Source organism: Homo sapiens, chromosome 5 (assembly GCF_000001405.40).
Source record: "Homo sapiens chromosome 5, GRCh38.p14 Primary Assembly".
NCBI classification, from domain to species: Eukaryota; Metazoa; Chordata; class Mammalia; order Primates; family Hominidae; genus Homo; species Homo sapiens.
The window spans coordinates 116,443,555-116,467,797 of record NC_000005.10 but is presented as its reverse complement, the minus strand read 5'-3'; the positions used below and the strand labels follow the sequence as shown (position 1 = coordinate 116,467,797).

The following is a 24,243-nucleotide window of genomic DNA, read 5'->3' as shown; positions in this document are numbered from 1 at the left end:
TGTGGGTCTCTCTGGTGATGTTTTCCTAACTGTATTTGTGATGAAAACAGGGCATTCCAGTTCCCTCTTGCCCAGCACAACCACATCAGATTCGACGGCTCAAGAGGGGTATGAGTCTAGGGGAGGAATGCTGGACTGGAAGCATCTGCTTGACTCACCTGACAGCACAGACCCTTTGGGGGCAGTGTCTTCCCATAATCACCAAGACAAGAAGGGTAAGGCCTTGGAAATGCCTCTTCCTCTCGGGGGAGAGGGAGGGAAAAGTGGGGAGGACTGTGTAACTGCTTCCAGCTGAATTTTGGCAGCATTTAAGGAACCTCCAATGCGCTATGATTGAAAGTTTCTCGAAAAAGACTGCAACCCCATCCTCTATGTGAGGCTTGATCCTAAATTATTCTCTGACCAAGGAAAAACCACACAAAACAAATAATATGTCCTCTGAGCTTCCTCTACCCGAAAAAGGTGTGGCTTGGCCCGAAGCAGATGCTGGCTTCTGACATCCCTTGCCACTCTTCTTAGTCTCATTCTGTGATTTTTGGACCGTCTTTTCCCACCATAATGTGATGGAATGCAGTTCGGGCTTTGGCAAGTGAATGCAATTGAAGTAAAGGCCCTGTTAATCAGTGAATTGAGAAATAGCAGGACAAAGTCTTTTCTGGCTGGTAGCATCTCTCACTGTTGCATGGTGCTGAATTTGAATAGAGCCATGTTCCTCAGACGTACTGTAATTGCCCTTAGAGGATAGTAGCTAAGACAAAAATATGTTATTTAATCAAGCAGAATTGCTATGCATTTACAACGGAAAGGAAGCCACACTAAATGAAAGGGACTCTACTGTGAACTGTCCTAAATTCTCCTTTGCTTTCTTTGCTTAGCTGCAGACAGGAAATGTCATCTCTTTTCTTGCCATTTGCTGCTTCTGGTAACACATCCTACTTTAGTTGCAGCTGCAACCAAAGAGGCCTTTACTTGTCCAAAAAACAGTCTTGTAAATCAGAGACTGAAAAGCCCAGTTATGTTGCTGAGCTGTTTCTCCCCATTCAGAATTGTTTACTTCTATATGTTTTCAAGAGTTTCATCCAAGCGGGAGTTTGAGTTTCAAGGGCAGAGCAGCCACTGTGACCCTTGGAAGACAGTCGCTATTGCACCCTCCCCCAGAGTGTTCTGCATACATATCTCCATCTTCACTTTTAGACAATGCTTTCCGGTCAGACTCTCAGGCTACATTTTCATCTGCTTTTTTGCTTCTCATCTCCTGAGAGTGCTGGGCACTCTGCTGCTCTATTTGCCAAGTCAAAATATAAAGATGGAGCCCCTTTTGTCTTGTTCTTGAGCGTGTCCTCTTAACTGATTTTATTTTCTTCTATAGACTTCCTCTTAGTAATAAGCCCTGACTCAAATCTTTTTTTTTTTTTTTTTGAGATGGAGTCTTACTCTGTTGCCTACGCTGGAGTGCAGTGGTGCGATCTCAGCTCACTGCAACCTCCGCCTCCCAAGTTGAAGAGATTCTCCCTGCCTCAGCTTCCCAAGTAGCTGGGATTATAGGTGCCCGCCACCATGCCCGGCTAATTTTTGTATTTTTTTTTTTTAGTAGTGACAGGGTTTTGCCATGTTGGCCAGGCTGGTCTTGAACTCCTGACCTCAGGTGATCCACCCGCCTCGGCTTCCCAAAGTGCTGGGATTACAGGCTTGAGCTGCTGCTCCCGGCCAAATCTTTTTTTTTTTTTTTTTTTTTTTTAAGCTGGTTTTGTCTCATCTCCTTCTTTCAGTTTGAGGGATTCCCTGCTCTTTCCATCCCGAGAAAGCTCCAGGTAGAAGAGAAACTGTCCGGACAGATTACAAGCCTTAGCATATGCCATTATTTGTTATGTGTGGCTCCTGACCTCAGATGTGCTAGTCCTGACTGTATTCTCAAGAAGAGAAAACTCAGTAGAAATCACTTTGTTTTTGCCCACTGCGTTTTTTCTGAAACAAAATAAAACAGCCTTTCCAATAAAGCATTAAATATGCCAACTAAATATCTAGCTGTTGGTTGCAGTAATTTTCTTTTCATTTCACTGAGAGGGGTAGCGTGAATTTTCTCTAATCGTTAACTCCCCCCAAGGAATGGAGGTTCTCAAAAAGTCCATTTAACACTTTGACACATCATTTTAAAATTCGGCATTGTTCATTCTCTTGGGTCTTATTATACTGACAAAGCTGGAAGCAGTCTACATATTGTCAAACAATGGTGGCAGAGGTGACTGCATGGGTGTTTAACATGATCACTGTTCTTGTGCTAGTAACTCCTTGCCTTGCCCTGTCAAATTTGAGTTTCTTTTCTGTGATTGGTTGTATGTTTGATGGGGCAATGCCAATGAGTTGTTGTGCAGAAATTTTAAAGAAAAGATGTAGCTTAATGTTCCTTTTATCATAGTTTTTATGATTTTAATTTCCATTTTGCTCCAAATTGTTTTTTGTTTAATGTTCATGATTTATTTTCAACTTTTGTTTCATTTTGCCAAGCACTGTGTTATGACTTAGTGATGGCGTTACTCCGTTGGAAAAGTCTTGTTCCTTTTCTGACTCATGATGGCGTCCCTTAACTTGAACGAATCTGTGATGCCCTCGCTTCTTTTCATTCCCTGATGTCGGTGCCTTAATGATGTCACATCCGTGTATGCAGCATCTCCCGGGATGCAAGAGTTTCATGGGTTTTCTAAGGGCCTGTGACGGGTGCTCTTTCTACTGGGTCGATTGTCTCATGAGAATGTGACATTTGTGTGCCCCAGCTTTAGGAGCTAAATATACTCTGGAATTGTTTCTAAAATCCATCACATTTCCTCACTAAGCAGAAAATGTGCCCGCTGACCAGCTCACTGAGGAGTCAAGTGTCCATTGCCCATTTTATTTTGGCCACTGGTAAAAATGCCAGTGAGCAAGGCATGCCCATGGCTCTACTCTGCAGATATGCTGACTGCCAGTGAGCTGGTCCCATTCTTTGTCCACTTCATCCTCCAAACAATTCTCCATTTCCAGAGTATGTTTGCTGCGTTTTTCTTTCTTTTCCTTGCTATGTCTTTCGTCTTGATTTAATCCTGTGCGTCCCTCACATTCTGTCGAAACACCCTTCCTCACCTTGCAGCCTAACCCCCTTCTGCTACCATTGTTCTTAGCCTCCCCCTTTCAAAATAACAGACCCAAACCCTCTGCCCCTCTGTGGAATGTTCCAAGGCTCTTTCCTTCTACACCGTGAGTAGCATTCTGATGCTGTATGTATATACAGTCATACTAACAAAGCGTGAGAAGAGACCTGCACAGCACGCGGAAGCATTATCATAGAAAATGAAGTAATTTTCTCTCTCAGTAACTGGCCTTGCCCTTCATTACCCTACTGGCCTTGTCTAATGTCTCTTGTCCTTGCTGCTTTTCTTTAAAATTGCCTGATATCTTTCAAGCCCTGGATTCATTAGTAAAAACACAGCCAACTGCTCTGTTTTATCTCTGGTTCTCTAGATGTCTGGAGCCTCTAGAGCGAGCCCTTTAATCACCAAGTTGATAAATGAGATGCAGCCCTGACTACTTCTGTCTTGGTTTTGCCACATTAAAAAATACATATTATTTATTCCTCCTATAACTATTGAGGTCGTAATGGGTAGTTACAAAGGGGCTCTAATCACATATAAATAAGAAAGAAAATCCAGTTTATTTTTAGATCTGGCTTATTCTCCACCACCGCTTCCCACAGCAAAAGAAATAAGAGCTTTCTTTTTTAGGTTAAACAATACTGAGAACAAATAGCTATTCTTGTGCCTCTTATTCCTTACCAAAAGTAACAATACTTTAAAGCTGATTTCCAAGAAGTCTATGAGGTATGTAAGGAAATCAGCCACATCCAGAGCAGCCAAGAGAGCTGTGTAGCATACACATAAAATGTAAATGCTGACCACTGCTATGAGGACACAAGAATATATCCTGAATAGAATAAAAATCCCCTACTTCAGACTTTATTTTATAATAAAGAGTTCTTGTGAGCTCTCAGAAAACAGACAAAATAGTAAATATAGAGCAGTTCCCATTTAATCAGAAATGCCAGAGTTGTAGTATGCTTCTATCTTTTGGGAAATCTTTAAAGTGAGATATTATCACATTATTACATTTAGTCCAGAAAATATGCACATTAAAGACAAGAATAAGATGTATTACAGAAACAGAATTTAAATTAGAGATTAAGTGAATAAGCTAAAATGGATAGCAAATGTTGAATATATTTTAATCAATGTACAAGCTATTTGTATAAGCAGTTTTTAGTTTGGGAAATAATATTCCGGTAAGATTCATAAGATCTATAAAGATGATTAGTATTGTCCACATCTCACAATCCTAAATGGAATTTTATAAATCACAGATGTTATCAATAATTCTCTTTATAGTTAATTATTTAATCTTTAAATTTGCAGTAGCCTACAGCAGTATTTCCTCCGAGGGAGATGAGTAGCACCTTACATGGCATGATTTAGGTGGCAGGGATGTGATGGCCTTCAAGAGTATTGAGTCATGTGGTGGAAATTTATGCCCTTTTCAATGCTCTTTCAGTCTTCTGCGTTATCTTCTTGATTATGTGAAAGGAAAAGTCTCAGTTTGGTGTTTTCTCATTAACAACTCCCTAAACTTGCTACTATCTCTTTTTGACAAAGAGAGAATAGGGTTTACACTGGGGCTTTGTCTTCCAACTGGATCTAGCTGGAATTAACATTGTTTTGCTTTAAGTTAATTTTTGTTTTACTGGTTACATTTTATCGTTGAAAAGTGACACTTTTTTTTTATTTGTGATAATGATATCAAGTTTCCCTTTGAAATACATTTTAAAGGTAATTTAAATAGAATATTAAGTAAATAATGCAGGAGTTATGAGGGATATAAAAATACTAAGTAAATAATATGGTAGGTGAGATTCATTGTTATGACTAAAATTGTAGTATTGGTAGTTGAATGACCAAAGTTTAGGTGACTGTGTACTGTAGCAATTGAAGGAGTCCAGGGAAGATTAAACTATTACCAAGAACTTTGTTCTGACATTTGGAAGAATGAGGTTTGATGACCACTATACCCTCTCCTGGCTGGGCTTGCAAAACCAAGTGAATACATGCGTCACTCCAAGTGTTGTAATTATACAATCCAGTGCCCTTCTGATTTCTTTGCTACCTACTGAGCTTTGTGTTTGGGGATGGAAAGTTTCATGAAATAGAAATTTAAAGTAACATGGATTTAGACTAATAAGAAATTAGCCACTCTAGGCTTGTTAAGCATCTGGCAAGTTTTTTCTCCACACCAGCAGCAAGCACCCTAGTGTGGTCTGCCGCTAGTTATTACTCAAATTGTAGCCTAGGGAAAGTTGATGAAAAGCCTTTCCACTTTTCATCTATTTTGCTGATATCCAGAAGGACTCTTGTGCTACACAGTGTTGCCCGGCCTGGCAATAGCTTACCCTTGACCCTTCTCCTTTTCTCCCGTTCAAACTTTACCTATTCTAAGTTCCAAGCCTTCAGTGTCAGCTGTCTTTATTAACAGACTGAGAAATCTCATTTTAGGTGAGTATAGTTAATCATAGATCCTACCCCCTGGTTACTCTTACATTTTAACACTCTCCCATGCTTAAAATGTAATGGATTTGGGATTTTAAAGCACCCTGGTTCTCCCAACACAGAAGGTAATTTTTTGGCTCCTATCAAGTCATATGTAAGTGATTTTATGGACAGAGAAAATTATTCCTGATGACAGTAATAAAGGAAGAAAAATAGGCCTCTCCTCTTTTCCTGACTCTTAAACTTGGGCTTAATTTTCTCTGCCATTTCTTCAGTAATATTACCGTTAACAAAAACATTTTCTGAGGTGTCTCAAGCAGAATTTATCACTGGCTCTGTGGTGCAATTTGGATGCCAATAAAGAGTAAGAGGCTGTATTAGAGATAGACGTAGTTCCTGTCCAAGAAATATCAAACACCAGACAGATGGAACACAGGTAGACACAAAAGCACACCAAAAGGCCTTTATGACCAACATTCTCTTTGTGAAATGCCAAAACCACACACCACAGACTTTAAAAAAATATATTAGACAAGTAAAGACAACTTGGCTGAACACATCAAGGACATAGAACTGTGAAACAGTTTTTCAGCTCCTTTCCTTCAGTTCTTTCCCTCAGTACCAATATTGTAGCAATAACACATCACCTGACAAGGAAGACGAGGAAAGTGATGGATGTTTGGTAAAAGACTCATATTTAAAATTTTTGTGGGAGTGTTGGCAAACTCAGGCTTTTATTTTTTTTAAGCCTAAGCTTTATTTCAAGAAAAAAAAAACTCATACTAATTTGCATTCCTTTTATTAGTAAAAATGATCCTATTGCAGTCGTTTTTAAATGTGAGAGTAGAGCAAGGCAGTTTCAAGGAGACTTCAGAAAAAGGGCTCCTGTCTTGGGGAGTACTAATAATGGGAGGGTAAGGGTTTTCACTTCCACTCAACAATGGAAAATTAACTGAGTCAGGTAGAACGTGCATGGTCAGAGGCAAGGAACGCGAAGAGATAGTGAATTGATTGTGACGGTTCCAAAAACTCTTTTGAATTAGAGATCACTTATTTCTGATTTTGAAGGTTAGAGGAAAGGCATCTTCAAAGTTCGTAAGAAATTTGGTACATAAGCTGGTATTGTTGCTGACTATGAAAAATACAGTTCTTAATATTTAGTTCATCAGTATTTTATTTATAAATTGTGCTATACACGACCCATAAAGATTTATCATAATTTTTATTGCTCTAAACTTTTAGAGATTAAAAAGTTTAATTTTTAGAGAGTAAAGATTTAGCATCATTTTTATTACTCTAAACTGCCTGTAATCTCAGCTACTTGGGAAGCTGAGGCAAGGGAATTACTTGAACCAGGGAGGTGGAGGTTGCAGTCAGCCGAGATCGTGCCACTGCATTCCAGCCTGGGTGACAGAGGGAGACTTTGTCTCAAAAAAAAAAAAAAAAAAAAGAGATTAACAATTTTAACCTCTGAAAGTTTGGGTGGGTTTAAAGAATATTTGTGGGAGTCATTTAAAGCACACTGTTTGGGAAAAGAAGAGTAGGGTTGCTAGGCAAAATACAGGATGCTCAGTTTATTTGAATTGCAGATACACCTGAATAATATTTTTAATATTGAAACAAAACTAAATAATTGTTAGTGTAAATATACCGCAAATATTGCATAGGACATACTTTTAACTAAAACATTTTTGTTTATCCGAATTAACTGAGAGTACTTAAACTTTTTGCTACCTGACAATTCTATAGAAGATGTCACTGATAACTTACTCAGTGAATATATAAGATCTAATTTATATATTACATTTGGCCTTTAACTCTTAGAAATCTAGAATAATCCATATTCTGATATGTTTAAGAAAAAATCTTATTCCACGAAAAATATTCTTAGCATACTTGAGTTCAGAGAATGTCTATGAAATATTATATATGTGTTTGAAATGTGATAAAGAGTAATTTAAAGATTATTATTGAAAACAGGCTTTCAAATGCCACTTTCAAGTAAGGAAGGCTCAGAAATCAAATTGTTCTTAAAGAGGAGCATGGTTAAAACTATTGGTTCTTTTATGTTTTACTTAACCTCAAAATTTTAACAGCTGTTATGTTAACCATATGTATTCCTTTTTCCTTCCTAAATTATATGGCTGCCCTCCTTTTTATTTTTATTTTTATTTTTTTATCATTTTCATGGCTTTGGAGGGGTAGAACTGGAATTCCGAAAGCACTAAAAAATAATAGTTTAATAATGCTGACAATCTCATCTCAAAGAAAGGCAAGACAGCAACCTTTCCTTTGTTTCTTTTTTCCTGCATTCAACAGAAATTGAACAAACATGTGCTATATGTAAACCTTATGCTGAGTGTTACAGAAGATACTAATTTGAATTTCACATAAACCTGATATTCAGACAGCTTACAGTTTAGTGAGGGATACCCAAAGGTGATCTAAATGCTGGGGCAGAGTGAAGTCTGACAGTAAGGGAAGTCAAGGAAAGAGGGGGAGGGAGAGTACTAAGGGAGTCTAAGGGGTGGCACAACTAATTCCAAGTGGGGGACACAGGAAAGACCTTTCAAAGTCTTGAAGGAAAAGTTAGATTTCACAGGAGGAAGGGCATTCCAAGCTGAATAAAGTCCATGACCAAGATACCACACTGTGAAATTACAGAGTGTAATAATAAAGAGGCAAGGAGTGTGTGGTGACTAAGTGTATGGACGACTAGAATGGGAAATGAGATTGAAATCCTAGCCTGGAACCTTAAATGCCATGCCAAGGAGTTTTGGCTTTAGCAACAGGAAGTGGAGGATGGGAAGGTAGACGTTGGGAAGAAAGGGACCACAGGAGGGTAGAAGTGGGGAAAGACAAAGATAGCAAGATTGACAGGTGATACATATATAATAAATTGTTCATTTAATCATATTAGGTTATTAATTACATGTACACAATAAGTTTGGGAAATGGAATTTTGCATCAATTTTGGATCTAAAGTGTCTGTTACTACACATCGCTGGCATTTTCCTGGTAGATGCTTCTTGCCTATCTAGCTCTATCCTAGGTAAAACCCCAGGCAAGCTGAACTCCAAACTTGGACTTCTTCCTCTCTTTAGTTAAAACAGTGGGGTTCAGCTGAGCACGGTGGCTTAATTAATAATATAATCCAGGATGCCACTGTTTATTTTTACTATATTAATATTTCTTGGTCACCTACGAGAAAAGGAATCTATATGTAGTCTCCGTCTTTTCTTTGAGGGACTGAGGAAAATGATATTGTGAGCAAGTCAGGTGCTGGGCTCTCAAATGGATGATGTGGGTTTCCATGTTTGAACGTGTGCAGGGGGAGAGGGTCCAGAGCCGAGAAGCCCAAGTGGCAGGCTGTAATTGTTCTTTCAGTAGTGTGGGCATAGATGTAGATTTGATATAATTAATTTTGTATCCTTTTGACAACTTGCTGAATTTATCTAAGGTCTTGATGAGATTATTGTGGAAAGGGTAGCAGGAAAAAAAAAGTTAAATGTCAGCCATGTAGAAAGCTGTTTCATCTCTCTGCCTGCCTGAATTTGCACACCCGTATTTGAGTTTTCTTTTCTAGGGATACCACTAACCTTTTATTTTTTAACCTAACATTCATTTTCTCAAAAAATGAAGGACTTAAATTATGATTATGGAGACTTGAACTTTTGCTTTTAAAACGCCAACTTAAACCTTAGGGTATTAAAAAAATCAATTCACCTTCTAGAGGTGCTTCTCACCTTTAATCTCTAGCCACTTTTTCAAGCTGCATCTACTTGACATGACACTTTACCCCCACCCTTTTCCCTCAGTCTCTTTTTCCATTCTCTCCCATCTTTTCTACAAAAACACACACAATGACAAAGTTTTCTGACAGCTTAATGGAACTTTCAAGGACTACGGGGACTAGGTTAAGTGTGATCTTATTAACAGAACATCTGGAGTGGTTAAAAATTTGCTCTTTAATTGGTTCAACGGCACTGTGTTCATCTAGATTTTGTTTTGTCCTAACGATAAAATTGTGAAGAATCAATTAGTAGTTTGCATTATGTGGAAAAGTGGGAAAATAATATCCGCTTTGTCTCAGACCTTTCTTTCTGATAGCCTAGTTTCACCAAGTTTTTTTTAAAAGGCTTGTTAGAAGTTTTACTTTGCAAACTTCACTGCTCCATAGACAAACTAGTCCACAGAGGGCAAAACAGTGGAAATCAGGTAATTTCCTGAGAATAGCTTCTCTTTTCTTGACATTATACCTGAGACTGGCCTCAAACTACGTAGGGCTTGCTCAAACTAACTACATCACGCATGCCATTATCCTGGAAAGACAGAGGATGAAAAAGGTGTGTTCATTTGTTGGTTCCAGGGAGATACAGGTTATGCAAGTAATAGATAAACTCTTGCAAAGTGTATGGGCTTCTCTAGGGACTGAAAGGAGCCATGTGAACCTCATCATATGTAAATCTCTTAGCACTTTAAATTGTGGAAACGCCCTGAAGTATACTACCGAAATGTAGTGGATATATTAAAATATACTGGGTGCACAGTAGATGGGATCTTAATTGGTGTCAGAAAGCCAATTACAGGCAATGTGAAGGTTTGTCACCCTTAATTAATATTTCTTAAGCTCTTATAAGTCTACAGCCTGACAACTATCTTTGTAAAGAGATTCATTTTTAATGGGGTAATAAATTTTTTTCCACTCCAATTATTTTTAAATTTCATATTTTTTAAAAGGATGCATTCCTTTTCAAACAGATATCTGCAATTACTTCTTTTTTACTGAAATCAGAGGCAGTCATTATGAACAGTATAGAAATAATGGAAGTTCGGTATAGTCAACCACTGACAATGCTTTATTAGAAAGGAAAATGGTGTCGAGAAATTTATAGGGCAGCAAACTGCATTATGCCTAACCTTTTGGACGTATTAAAGCATGTCATTTCCAGTCTTACAGCCTCTTGTTATTCATAAATAATAGATAGCACTGGACACAATCATCTGACATTTGTTAAGGTAATAAATATACCCTAAGTGCTGATGGGTCTCGCACTCCATGATTTAAAAGCACACAGCAGAAATTTAATGTAACTTAAAATGTCTCATGTAATTCTATGGATTTGCAGATTCAGTTCAACTCAGCAGATCAATAAGCACAGAGCTCTGTTGAGTGAACTGTTGTGCTAGGCATCTTTTATTATTATAAAGCAGGACCTTACTTTGGTGAATGACACATGAACTCAAGTCCCTCTTTTCACCCCGGGAATATAAAGGAGAAGAACCTTCGTGAGTTTCTTTTCTCTCGTCTAGTCATGCAGAGATGAAGGTAAAGATTTTGGCATCCCCTAAACCATTCTCAAACGTTGCTTAATAGCTGTAAGTTGAGTTGAGGGAGTGGGTTTTGAGATGATATTAGATGCAGGCCTTTAAAGGAAGCCACTCTGTCCAATGGTGGGCTCCATCAAGCATTCTGCTTCTTCTGCACTTGAGAACCAGTTATGCCTGGGCTGACCCAATCTAGGACATACGTGAGCTCTGTGGTACCAACCACTATCTGACGGCCACAGTTACAGAGATGAGGAGTATTAGAAATTCTCCTCCAAGTCTTCCTACCAGAGCAAATAGAGACCACAAGCATTGTTTCAGCAGTTTTGGTGCAAGCAAATTGGGTTGATTCTTTTGCAGGAGTAGCAGCCCAGTATTTTGAGCTATATGCCATGCTTTTGACAGATACTAAGGGAAAGTGTTTGTTAGGAATTTGATTGTCTTTCCAATAAAACAAGGTCGATTTCTATTCTTTGTCAGAGCATGATACCCACAGTAAAGAAATTATCCAATGAGACCTTAGATATGTTTTCTGGAATATTATTTATGTTATTTCAGGACAGCATGTCTCAAGCTTTAGAGAACTTAAGAATCATCTGGAGTTCTGGTTTCTGGGCCTAACCCAGAGATTCTGAGGCTGAAACTTTGGGCAGGACTTGAGGATTTCTGTCTCTAATTAGTTCCAGGTGATGTTAATGCTGAGTGGCACTGATTCAGACATTTTCCACGTTGCTGATGGGCTGTCTTATTTAAGTTCACTAGTCAAGGTTTTGTTGTAGTTGTAAATCCTTATTTTTACACTTTTGGCTAACACAGTTGAACCCTACCAAAGTGTTGCCTTAAAATAGTCTAATCTTGGACCCTGTACAAGACAGGCAACTTGTCAAACATTCTAGAAATACTGTCCTTACATTATTAATTGAGCATTAACACGTTTTCTGCACAATGCCAACTGCTTTGTGTTCATTTATTCAACCTATTTAGTCCTTCCAACAATGCTCATCTTATAGCCAACACTACTGGGGCCTGGAGACCGAGTGACATACCCAAAGTCACACAGTTAGCTATTTGTAGAGCCAACACGCAAACCCAGGTCTTTATGAGCTCAAAGTGTATGTTCTTAACCAGTAACACCCAGTCTCATCTTTAACCCAGATCTCAAGAACTACATTTCTAGAAAATTCAAGTTGGAAGATTTAGCAGTATTGAAACAGACCTGTTTCTTCATATCTGTTTTATCTTTGCTTTATAGAGAAAATTCAAAGCAAGTAATCAAATAATCCAAGCAAAGACTTGCCCAAATTTCACAATTTTTTAAGGAGGTCCACTTCTCCATTTTGTGGCTTTGATGCCTTTTGAGAGAGTAAAGGAAAAAGATGGGACCAGGAAGTTGGAAAATAGAAATGCTTTGTCTGGTTTTAGAAATCACTTAGATGTTGTGTTTCTCGTCTTATTTAAGAAAGCTGATGAAAGAAAACTTCAAAAAGCAGGAAAATACGCCTTGCAGACTCTGCTAAAACTTTGCCAATGTAAAAGAATCATTACCTTTACGGGGACAGTAACAGTTCTAACACATGAAACCACAAACCAGCATTCCAGGGCATGGCTTTTAAAAATTATCTTATCATGACTCTTAGTCTAGACATCAGCCCGTGCTCTGGCTGTAGCACTCCCATTGGCAATGCCATTTCTAAAGCAGTAGAGCAGTGGAGGAACAGTGAACTGAGCGTTCCCAGCACACAGGGAAAAATGAAGCTGTTTCTTCTCTAAAAAAATGAAATAGAATGAATTCCAGGCTCATTCTCCCTTCTATCCCTGTGATGACATCCCAACCAAAAATGCATCACTTTTAAAGGTGATCGAAGTGGAAGTGGGTTCATCTACAGTCAACCACTCCAAGCATTATTTCAATATGTGAGTTTTAAAATAGCTTCTGAATTCAGGACATTAAACAGCCAGGCCAGGAAGCTACCTCCACTTTGGCATGGTCAGTCATTAACTTTATATATCTTGAAGACCATGGCCCCTCCTGGTACCTAATCTGTAGCCTGCCAGGAAAAACACATACATACACACACACGCGCACACACACATGCACACACACACACACACACACTTAAAGGAAAAGGAAACTTTAAGTTATAAACTCCAAGCCTATTTCCATGGCTGCTGGCATGTCAGTTTATTCCTAAGCCATCTGGTTCACATTATGCCGTAAGACAAGAAGAAGGCTGCTTCCTGCCCAGATAACCACAGAGAGTTCCCATTTCACTTTCAGCGTGGTCACCTCGACTGGCTGGGGTGTGGCTTTGAGAATAAATTGTCTCCAGTTAGGGTTTTTCCCTTGTTTGTTTTCTTCTCTTCTTAATAGGGATTACAGCGGGCCCTGTGTGGTTAGCGGGGCGATGCTTGGCTAGTGATTAGTTCATTCATTTATACTGTCTTGCAGGACCGTGAGCCTGGAATTTTGTTGCAGTAAGATTTGCAAACAAGAAAAATTGGGCTGTTAGATTCCATTCACTCAAGTTGTTATGAGGATTTCAAGGAAATTGTAGGCTTGTCTTACTATAAAGCAGAATCAAGAATCTATTTTTAGGGGATGCTACTCCGGGGCTTTTCTTGGTGTTTTGCCATCTTTCTTAGCTCTCAGACCCAACACAAACCCTCTCTGGCTCAGTGATGGAGGAAATGTCCATCCTCCTTTTTGCCTTTGCATATTTCTCTAAAGGACACAGAGAGGCTTTGTTGTCTTTGTGGTCACCGGGTCCACTTTACACAGATGCCTATTAATCACTTCACTATGGAGACAGACACATCCATCATATCACAGCAGCTCAGAAACGGGCCGTCCAGTGAAAGGGGGTGAGAGGGGAAAGTGCACACTTAACCATTTCGAGTTAGGTTACTGGTTGCCTGTGTCTTACACGCTTAGGGTGGTAATTGGGGTGGGGGTGAGTAGAGCTCTTCCTTTGTATTTAGCTTAATAGGTGTGATTAATTTTACGTATTTTTGCTTGTCTGTTTGCTTCACATTTTGATAGGACAGATAACATCTCCCAGCTATTTGTGTAAGGTGCAGGGCATTAGTATACTTTAAGATTGAGAGTTTTAATTTTAAAAACAGTAATAATAAATGCAGGTAGACTAGCTGTGCTTTTGATGCAATGATACTGACTCTTTGAAGCCAAGAGTTTTGCGATAATGGATTCAATGTGGAACAGAGCAAGCCGAAAGTTAGCTTTCTCAGGCAAGAGAAACTGCAGATAAATTAACCAAGAACTTTCCTTCTATGAGTGGCAGATCTTCTAAACCTCTTTTTTAATCATTCAAGGCTGTCCACAGCCTTCCAAATGGTATTTCTAGCTCTTGCTCTTGTATTTTCTCTACAAGTGCTCATTCATGTATGCATTCCTTTACTATTTATTTAAAAGATATTTACTGAGCACCTTTCTGCCTGAAGATTCAGTGGTGAGTTTTAGCAGTCTAGGTGAGAAAAACAAGTATCATACTAGTGATGATTTTAGAATAAAGGGAATGCAGAGCTCTGGGGACACTTTAGAAGGAAGAACTTAACTGGCCTAAGGAGTCAGAGAAGGCTTCCCCATTTAAGCTGAGCCCTAAAGATAGGGTCTGATGAGTGGGAAAATGAGTAGGGACATTCCAGGCAGAGAGAACAGCCTGTATGAGAGCCATGAAGCAAGCTTGAGTATGGAAGGGTGGCTCATGCCTCCAGCCTAACAGACTAGAAGGGAGTTAGACCATTTGCTATTACTCACTACGGCCTTCCCTTTCCTTCCCTCCAAGGCTCAGTTCTTGTTGCTCTCTCTGCTCCAGCTAAGATCCTGTGCATCTTTAAGGCTTAGCTCAAATGCCATTTCCAATGTAAAGCTTTTGCCCACTGTTGAAGCAGAAGTGATGTAACTCATGACATAGCCACACTTTGGACAGAGTTGTATGCAAGCACTTGCCTTCTTCCCTGCTGGTTTATGCCTCATTCATCATTGTCCTTCCCCGACACCTAGTGCAGTGCTTGGTAAATGTTTGCTGAAGGCAGCCACAAAGATGCTTGGAGCCAAAACCTTGTTATACTAGGAGAGTGATAATAAAGAAACAACCCAACCCTAAGTTAGGGGAAAACATCATTTCTAAAGCAAATTGTCTCAGAGCCTGGTGCTAGGTTCCCTTTGCACGGAATAGTATCCATGAGCAGGACTACTAGAAAACATTTTTTAAAATAAGGAATGTAGTGTTTGATATTTCAAAATTTATTAACATGGTCATCATAGGAAAAGTCAGAATTGTATTGGGCTTCCTCTTAGTTTTCAGTTTACAATTGTTCTTATTTTGAATCACATGTTGCAGGGTCTAGGGGCAGGGTCCTTCATAATCTTTTCATTGCTTTGGACTCTAAAGAACTTCAAATTTCCTCTCTGAGGTCTCCCTCCAGCATCTGAAAACTCTCACCTCAGGAAAAAAAAAAAAAAACAGTGGAGATTCTATTCTTTCTCAGTTCTGCCAATTTAAGACATGATTTCAGAGAAATCTCTAAGCCAGGGTGTGCCTTGCTTCCTGCAATAGGAAGGTGGAAAGACTAACCATTTAGCACCTTATGACTGGTGAGAAATAGCTGGTGGTTAATGAATCAATGCAAAGGATTTTTCAAATACTGTTTTCATTACTAATGCCCCATTTTCAATTGGTAAGAGCAGAAGAGGATGCAGGGGTTGGCAGAGGAAGGAATTTCAAGACCCTAGGGTAGAGAAGCCAACTCTGATTGTTCTCTCTGCAGTGGGAGGATACCTGCGGAGGGGAGTACACCACCCTCCAAGGGCCCTTTACTTGCCCAGGGCTTCCAGGCAGCATCTGAAGCAAGGGATACTCAGCTCTAGCCTGTTGCCCTTTGCCCTTTGCCCTTTGCAGAGATGCATTTTTTTTTTTTCTAATTATTCAGTTCCACTGGGGCACTCTGTTGTTGTAAATAACCCATTTATCGTCATCGACTCTTTTGGATTTTTCCCAGAACTAATTTCATTTTTGAAATAGTTTCTCTTCTTATTGTTTTGAGCAAATACTGAGCACCATTATAGATTTATTTTTGTTTGTCTGATAGATGCTACTATTAAAATTCTTTTATATGATTGGAGATAGAATTTATTTCCATGACTTCAAAAGCAAGGGTGATAGTCACTCTAAAGATTACCTCCCAAGTTTAGAAGTTCATTTAAAAATAGCTCTACAATGTATTGAAAACCCATTTATTCAGCCATCATTTGTTGAGTTACCCAACTAAGAGCTCTGTGGATGGCAAGGGTTATAAATGCCGAAAAAATGTGGTACTTGCCCAGGATTTGCACTCCACTGAGAATCCAACTATAATTGCCAACATTTTCCACTTCTGTTGTTTTAATTATTTCAAAATTCAGTAACTATAGGCATCCTGAAACAGTATGCATTCCCTTATATTGCTTCGAAATCTCATATCACCTTTTTGACTACATTTAGAAGGCACGAAGTTTGGACCTGGAAGCACAGGTCTACTCCTCTCCCATGGGAGACCAATAGCAAATGGAATCCAATGGAGCAGCTGCGACTATCACTTGGAAGCCCTCTGTGAGCCACTAACCCACCACTTCTCCTTTGTGGCTTCTTTTGAGCTTTAGATTTGTCCAGCAAACTACAGCATTTAAGCTCTTTCCTATTTTTTATTTCCTTTGATTCTTGTAACAATCCAGTAAGGCAGTAAGATTAGGTGTGTTCACCTCATGCTACAGATAAAAAAACTGAGGCCCAGAGATGTTAAGTCACTTGCCAAAAGGTCACCCAGCCAGTAAGTGGGAGCCTGCAATTCCAAGCCCACTGAGATCTTCTCTAGCTGCTTTTATCACCACTACTGACAAGTCTGCTGTTTCCAAGCCTTCACAATGGCTATTCCACAAAGTTGACTTGATCATTTCTGTGAATGCTTCTTTGGCCTTTTTCATGATATAAGCAGAAAGCTTTAAGTTTGAAAGGCATTTCCAAAAATAACGTTTACCTTATCTTCTTCAACTGCACTTTCAACTTACTCTCTGATCTGTTTCCATCTTTGGACGTTTCTGAATTTACACAAGCAGATGAGGAAAGCCCTCTGCCTCCCCATGGATAGATGAAGACATGCAAAAATGTTTTTAAGGCCACTCTTTATATAACAAAATGAGACGGGGGAAAAAATCTGTCTGAGATACCATTTTCCTGAAAGGTCAGATCCTACTTAACTTGTTAACAACCAAAAACCTGAACTCAAATATCATCCACTAAAAAAGAGTTCTTCCCAGTGAAAGAATAAGTAGCTTTCATGAGTCTAAAATAGCCAAGGACCTTCAGACATGAAAGAAGAATGATATTTGGGAGCTAAAAGTAAGGCTAAGAAGCAATGGATACATGTGAAAAATTTGCAGTTTTCCCAGTGAAACCAATGAATTGCTCTAGCTTTACTCTTTCCACGTTCCTTTTAAACTGAGAGGGCAGTTTAAATTGTAGAATGCCAAAGTCAATTGTAAATAGCTTCCTATTATAATACACATTTATTGGGAATATCCAGTCCCCCTAAATTTGGTAGCCTGGAAGGGTTTCATGAAATACTCATTGCCATGAAAAAAACACCTAATACACCCCCACCCCATTACTGGGGCCGTCTAGCCTGTGTTCAACTCCCACTGAAATCACCAAGTCAATGAGAGAAATTAAAACCATTTTATCCACAGGTGTACATTTTTGTGCAATTATATGTAGGGGGTTAAAAACGGTGTTCGGTAGAACCCCATACATAATCAAAATTGAAGAAAAATCAGTAGCTATTTTAGCATAATAAGGAAATGCAAATTTAAGAAAGAAAATTTTCATTAGCACATTTCCTTGGTGAATAGGTACTAAAATATATTTGAATGCAGGACACCCCACTGTTTGGGGAGCTTCACACATAAAAGGTGTGAGTTACAGCCAAATTTCCGGCTGTTTTTTGCTTCTCAGTTTCTACCCCTTAAAAGCTGATGGAGATAAATCTGGAAATATTTGAAAAGTATCACATTTGAAAATTATTTGATATCTTACCGTCTTGTACACTCTTTCCTTATGGTGAATTGCCTTGACTGCCTTTTATTACCAAGGGTATTTGTTGGATCACAGAATCTTTATTTCTTAAGAGATATTTGCTGCTTCTACTTAAGTCACAATCCTTTGTCACAGGACAATCATTTCCACAGCAACCAACTGTGATGTCACAATTGAAGGGAGGAGGACCCTTAGGAAGGAAAGAAAAAGAGAATGTACTTTTCAGGCTAAGGTTTCTGGGTTTTAAAACCATCACTTCAGAAATCAAAATATTTTAGCAGAAAAACCCCCATGAGAAAGCTTCAAGGTCTCGGCTGTGACAAAGACAACATTTCAGTAGAAGTTTAAGGTTGCGTGTTGTGGGCTTGGGAAGGGGTAGAGATCTTTATTTCCTTTCATTCTAATTCTGTGCCACTGATACCTGCCAGTAAAATACATGAAACATATTCCAGAAAGAGTTGATTTAGTAGATGAAAAATGCGTCTCCCGAGACCAGAGAAGGTACCTTTTCTGTCTTGCTATCATTTCCATAATAGGAACAATGTTTACATTTCCTCAGCCCATGCAGTGCCTCTAATGTATTCATGTTCTTTCACTCTCCAGAGGCAGGAATTGAGGTATTAGAGATTTTATTTTTTAGCGACTGCATCAAGCACTTAAGATCTGACAACTGTGATGTGTATTCTCACTTGGTATTAAAAAATAAAAGCTTCTGTGTTTGCATTTGATTAGAGTCACTCAGCTGGGTGGCTGATTAAGCAGGAATAGCGAAAGCACCTTCCTTCAGAAACACTGAATCCTGGTTAATGTAGTGTAAGATTACGGATGGGTGTAGTCACATAATTTTTATTAAATTGAAGAGATTAGCTCTGCTGAAAAATCCCACTGTGACAGCAAACTCTAGGTGCAATAATGGTACCTAACACTTCTCAAACCCACTACAGGGCCCCAAATGGTCTTATTTCTGAATCTTCTTTCAGTTCCAGTGAGAAAGCTTCATTCAAATATTCAGGATAGTTACCTGAAATTGAGTTTGCACTGTTTTTTTTTTTTTTTTTTTTTGAGAGGTGATGCAAAATCAGCACAAACATTTGTAGTCTGTGAACTTTAGCTATATTCTCTCAGTGTAAATAAAAATGACACACACTCTCTTTCCTCTAGTTGCTTAAAAGGCAAACACTTTTCCCCAGACGGAGGCTCCGGTGGCCACAAGGGGGCCGTCGGAAAAGATCCCAACTGGAAGCCCAGAGTGTGTGATTTGTTTGTCTAACATGCATAAAATTGTTGCCTCTTCCTCCAGACTCAGGATAACTTGGTTATCCCAGTTCTAGGAAGGGAAGGTTAAAAAGCCATAAAGAAGGAAAGAAAGATAACTTTTGAAAGCCAAAACCTCCCATATTCCCTGGAGTGAAGCAGAGTAGAAAGTGCAGGTACTGGAAAGAGTGAACAGCACTTTTCTTTCTTTCTTTTTTTGAAACGGAGTCTCGCTCTGTCACCCAGGCTGGAGTACAGTGGCCTGATCTCCCTTCACTGCAACCTCCACCTCCCAGGTTCAAACAATTCTCTACCTCAGCCTCCGGAGTACCTAGGATCACAAGCCCCCGCCACCGCGCCTGGCTAATTTTTTTTTTTTTTTTTTTTTTTTTTAGTAGAGACGGGGGTTTCACCATCTTGGCCAGGCTGGTCTTCAACTCCTGACCTCGTGATCCACCCGCCTCGGCCTCCCAAAGTGCTGGGATTACAGGCGTGAGTCACCGTGCCCGGCCTGAACAGCACTTTTTTAGACAACAAAGAAGGCTACAAATGGAGTCCATTTACATACTGCACACGAGGGGCTTGGGGAGGATTAATTGGTTAATGTTTGGCAAGCTGAGCTTGGAAGACAAGTTGTGCAGAGGTGCTGTTGTCACTTACTACTGTTATTAATTAACAAGGTGAATGCCAAGCAAAAACAAGCCTCGGGGTGTGCTTTCATTTCTTAACGCCATATGCGATGTCTATTGCAGGAGTGATTCGGGAAAGTTACCTCAAAGGCCACGACCAGCTGGTTCCCGTCACCCTCTTGGCCATTGCAGTCATCCTGGCTTTCGTCATGGGGGCCGTCTTCTCGGGCATCACCGTCTACTGCGTCTGTGATCATCGGCGCAAAGACGTGGCTGTGGTGCAGCGCAAGGAGAAGGAGCTCACCCACTCGCGCCGGGGCTCCATGAGCAGCGTCACCAAGCTCAGCGGCCTCTTTGGGGACACTCAATCCAAAGACCCAAAGCCGGAGGCCATCCTCACGCCACTCATGCACAACGGCAAGCTCGCCACTCCCGGCAACACGGCCAAGATGCTCATTAAAGCAGACCAGCACCACCTGGACCTGACGGCCCTCCCCACCCCAGAGTCAACCCCAACGCTGCAGCAGAAGCGGAAGCCCAGCCGCGGCAGCCGCGAGTGGGAGAGGAACCAGAACCTCATCAATGCCTGCACAAAGGACATGCCCCCCATGGGCTCCCCTGTGATTCCCACGGACCTGCCCCTGCGGGCCTCCCCCAGCCACATCCCCAGCGTGGTGGTCCTGCCCATCACGCAGCAGGGCTACCAGCATGAGTACGTGGACCAGCCCAAAATGAGCGAGGTGGCCCAGATGGCGCTGGAGGACCAGGCCGCCACACTGGAGTATAAGACCATCAAGGAACATCTCAGCAGCAAGAGTCCCAACCATGGGGTGAACCTTGTGGAGAACCTGGACAGCCTGCCCCCCAAAGTTCCACAGCGGGAGGCCTCCCTGGGTCCCCCGGGAGCCTCCCTGTCTCAGACCGGTCTAAGCAAGCGGCTGGAAATGCACCACTCCTCTTCCTACGGGGTTGACTATAAGAGGAGCTACCCCACGAACTCGCTCACGAGAAGCCACCAGGCCACCACTCTCAAAAGAAACAACACTAACTCCTCCAATTCCTCTCACCTCTCCAGAAACCAGAGCTTTGGCAGGGGAGACAACCCGCCGCCCGCCCCGCAGAGGGTGGACTCCATCCAGGTGCACAGCTCCCAGCCATCTGGCCAGGCCGTGACTGTCTCGAGGCAGCCCAGCCTCAACGCCTACAACTCACTGACAAGGTCGGGGCTGAAGCGTACGCCCTCGCTAAAGCCGGACGTACCCCCCAAACCATCCTTTGCTCCCCTTTCCACATCCATGAAGCCCAATGATGCGTGTACATAATCCCAGGGGGAGGGGGTCAGGTGTCGAACCAGCAGGCAAGGCGAGGTGCCCGCTCAGCTCAGCAAGGTTCTCAACTGCCTCGAGTACCCACCAGACCAAGAAGGCCTGCGGCAGAGCCGAGGACGCTGGGTCCTCCTCTCTGGGACACAGGGGTACTCACGAAAACTGGGCCGCGTGGTTTGGTGAAGGTTTGCAACGGCGGGGACTCACCTTCATTCTCTTCCTTCACTTTCCCCCACACCCTACAACAGGTCGGACCCACAAAAGACTTCAGTTATCATCACAAACATGAGCCAAAAGCACATACCTACCCCATCCCCCACCCCCACACACACACACACACACACATGCACACAACACATACACACACACGCACAGAGGTGAACAGAAACTGAAACATTTTGTCCACAACTTCACGGGACGTGGCCAGACTGGGTTTGCGTTCCAACCTGCAAAACACAAATACATTTTTTAAAATCAAGAAAATTTAAAAAGACAAAAAAAAAAGAATTCATTGATAATTCTAACTCAGACTTTAACAATGGCAGAAGTTTACTATGCGCAAATACTGTGAAATGCCCGCCAGTGTTACAGCTTTCTGTTGCAGCAGATAAATGCCATGTTGGGCAACTATGTCATAGATTTCTGCTCCTCCTCTCTTTTAATGAAATAACGTGACCGTTAACGCAAGTAACTCTTTATTTATTGTTCACCCTTTTTTTCCTTAAGGAAAGGACTCTTCCAAATATCATCCTATGAACAGCTCTTCAGAAAGCCCATTGAAAGTTAAACTATTTAACGTGAAATCCATTAACTGGAATAATTGAGTTTCTTTATTTTTACAATAAATTCACTGAGTAAATAAGTTGGAGCTGGAATTCTGAGCTTTGTGTTTGGACTGTCTGGTCTGTAGCTAAAGGAAAAAGTTAGGAGGGGAATATTTATTTAAATCTATCAGTTCATTGCCTGGTCAGGTCTCTGGCCTATAAACATGCAAAAAAACTAATTCATGTTAAAGTCCTTCCAGATCCTAATTTCTAAAGCAATCAGGAGAGAAAGCTTTTAGAATGGCACATCATATCTCATTGATGCCAACATGGTTTTGTCCATGGTTCTGACTTTCTGTGAAGGCACCAGCTTGCAATATGCCATCCCATTTCACCTTGCATGTGAGACAGCAAACAAAATCCACAAATGGTGTGAACTAATATGCTGGCTGCTACCTTGCATAAATTAATGATTTGATCACACGGGTTCTTCGTGGGGTTACATCTGTGAATAGCCTGTTTTCCACATGTAAATTTGTGCCTTACACCTTGAGTTGTGTACACTTGTAAACTCTTTATGATCAACTGTTCCCCCTTTTGAAATAAGTGCAGATATTTATTTAACCCTCCCTTCCCCACCCTCTGCCCCACTTCCAGCCCTCTGAAAGATTGGAGTCAAGCAGATGGAAGAATGCAGTGGTGATAGTTGTCATGCGACAGCCTGAGAACGCTGGGCAGCACCACACCCTCCAATTCACACTGCCTTCTAGTTGTGCCAACTGGAACCACCCTTTGGCTGTGCTGCGAAGCATGGACCCCAGTGTTGTTGTGGGTGTGTCAAATCCCCTTTCATCCTCAAGAGCTCCCTGCTTCCCTTAGATTATTTCAATACGGTGATATCCTTATTTGCTAGCAGAAAAGGGACTAACGTCCCATTCCTCTTTTCTGCTGCGTCCACTGGCTAGAGAGCAGGCGGTGCGCGGTTGGGCAGACACCTGGGAGGAGTCTCCAAGCCATGTGCACAGCACACACGTGCAGTGCACACAAAGAAATGACATGGAAATAGATGCAGGCAGGCTGGTCCCTGCTGTGATTAACGAGTAACTCCAAGTACAAGGCCGACCACAATGGATGCTGCAAAAACGTTGACTGGGGCAAAGGATTTTTTATTTTATTTTTTATTTTGTTAATTATGTTTTTAGGGGATGGGAGGTGGTGTGTGTTTTTCTCCTCTTGGTTTTCATTTGCTCAAGCACACAAAAGGGACTTTTGTTTACTCTATCATGAACAAAGGAACTGTCCACATACTGTAAACCATGAGCAGTGTTGTTGTTGTTTTTTTAAACAGTATATTTGGTGGTCTCTTTGTCTGCTTTTATTTCCAGTTCGATCTTCTGGGTTTAGTTTTGTCTTTAAAAAGAATTCAAAAAAAGACTGACAATGACAGTTTTGAGTTGGATAGTGAAAAAGTGGAGCCTCCATAATCAGTGTGGTTGCCTTCAGACCTGAGTACTTAGCTGAGGGTGGGTGAGAGCCCTTTGTTCCAAAAGTCCATTAGTTTTGCTGTTGTTTAGGAGTAGGTGGTTGTTGTTGTTTTTACTTTTTTTTTTTTTGGCTTTTGTAATGGAATCCATGTTCACATCCTGTGAACTCTGTCTCCTGAAACCCTGAAGTATTTCCTAGAACCTGAAATATTGTTTTCTTCCTTGAATTTTCTCTAGAAATGCAGAAATTAGGAAGGTGATGGGTCTGTATCCCCCTGCCCCCTTCTTTCCCATGCTTGACTCCCGAGAGTACTGGCAGTGCAGCACCCATCATTGACGTAAGCGGCTGTCTTGTCCAGTGTTTGTAGGCATCACTGCCTCAGCTGTTAAGGAGACCTGTGTCAAAACTTACATCCACATTCCTACACCCCCACAACCCATCACTTCTGGTGTTAACCCTAAAATACCCACATGTATTGAGCTGGTCTTCTGCATTTAAGTATTTCTCCCCAGTTTTTTTCCCCACTGTGTGTGGGGGGAGGGTCCATAAACCCGAGTGTGCCTTTGCTTTCCACCCTTGCTAGACACTGGTAGATGCAACAAACTCAGATTTATATTTGTTGTAAAGTTGTAAAAATATTGTGATGTCACCAATTTTCCTTCCATCTCCACATCCCCTAACATCTGATTCACGACTTAATGTATGTTGTAAGAAAAGAAAAAAGAAAAGAAAAAAAGGGAAAAAAGAAAAGCAAGGAAAAGGCTCTTTATTACTTAAAAGTAATAAAACCTGACTGTTCTATATTA

At 40.8% G+C, this 24,243-nt stretch overlaps 1 protein-coding gene and 1 long non-coding RNA gene across 9 annotated transcripts in view, besides 1 other annotated feature; one reads left to right on the top strand and one right to left on the bottom strand.

Moving 5' to 3' along the window:
• The window catches only part of SEMA6A-AS1 (SEMA6A antisense RNA 1), a 24,176-nt gene extending 3,876 nt beyond the window's left edge, over nt 1-20,300 (bottom strand). The window contains exons 1-2 of the long non-coding RNA NR_109879.1: nt 20,007-20,300; nt 17,981-18,170 (exon numbers count right to left, since the gene is read on the bottom strand). This is a non-coding gene — a long non-coding RNA (SEMA6A antisense RNA 1). The remainder of the gene's footprint in view (nt 1-17,980; nt 18,171-20,006) is intronic.
• SEMA6A (semaphorin 6A) overlaps nt 1-24,243 on the top strand; it is a 131,269-nt gene extending 107,026 nt beyond the window's left edge. For 7 of the 8 annotated variants that reach the window (NM_020796.5, XM_006714663.3, NM_001300780.2 and 4 more), the window contains 2 exons: nt 51-215; nt 19,987-24,243. In NM_020796.5, the coding sequence (NP_065847.1) occupies nt 51-215; nt 19,987-21,185 (1,364 nt within the window). In that variant the 3' untranslated portion in view covers nt 21,186-24,243. The remainder of the gene's footprint in view (nt 1-50; nt 216-19,986) is intronic. The other variant, XM_005272042.5, reaches the window with a different exon arrangement.
• Nucleotides 13,015-13,094: a silencer, noted in NCBI's record as "silent region_16258". NCBI's record gives its function as "represses an Ori minimal core promoter by ATAC-STARR-seq in GM12878 lymphoblastoid cells {active_cell/tissue: GM12878}" and the evidence as "EXISTENCE:reporter gene assay evidence [ECO:0000049][PMID:35858748]".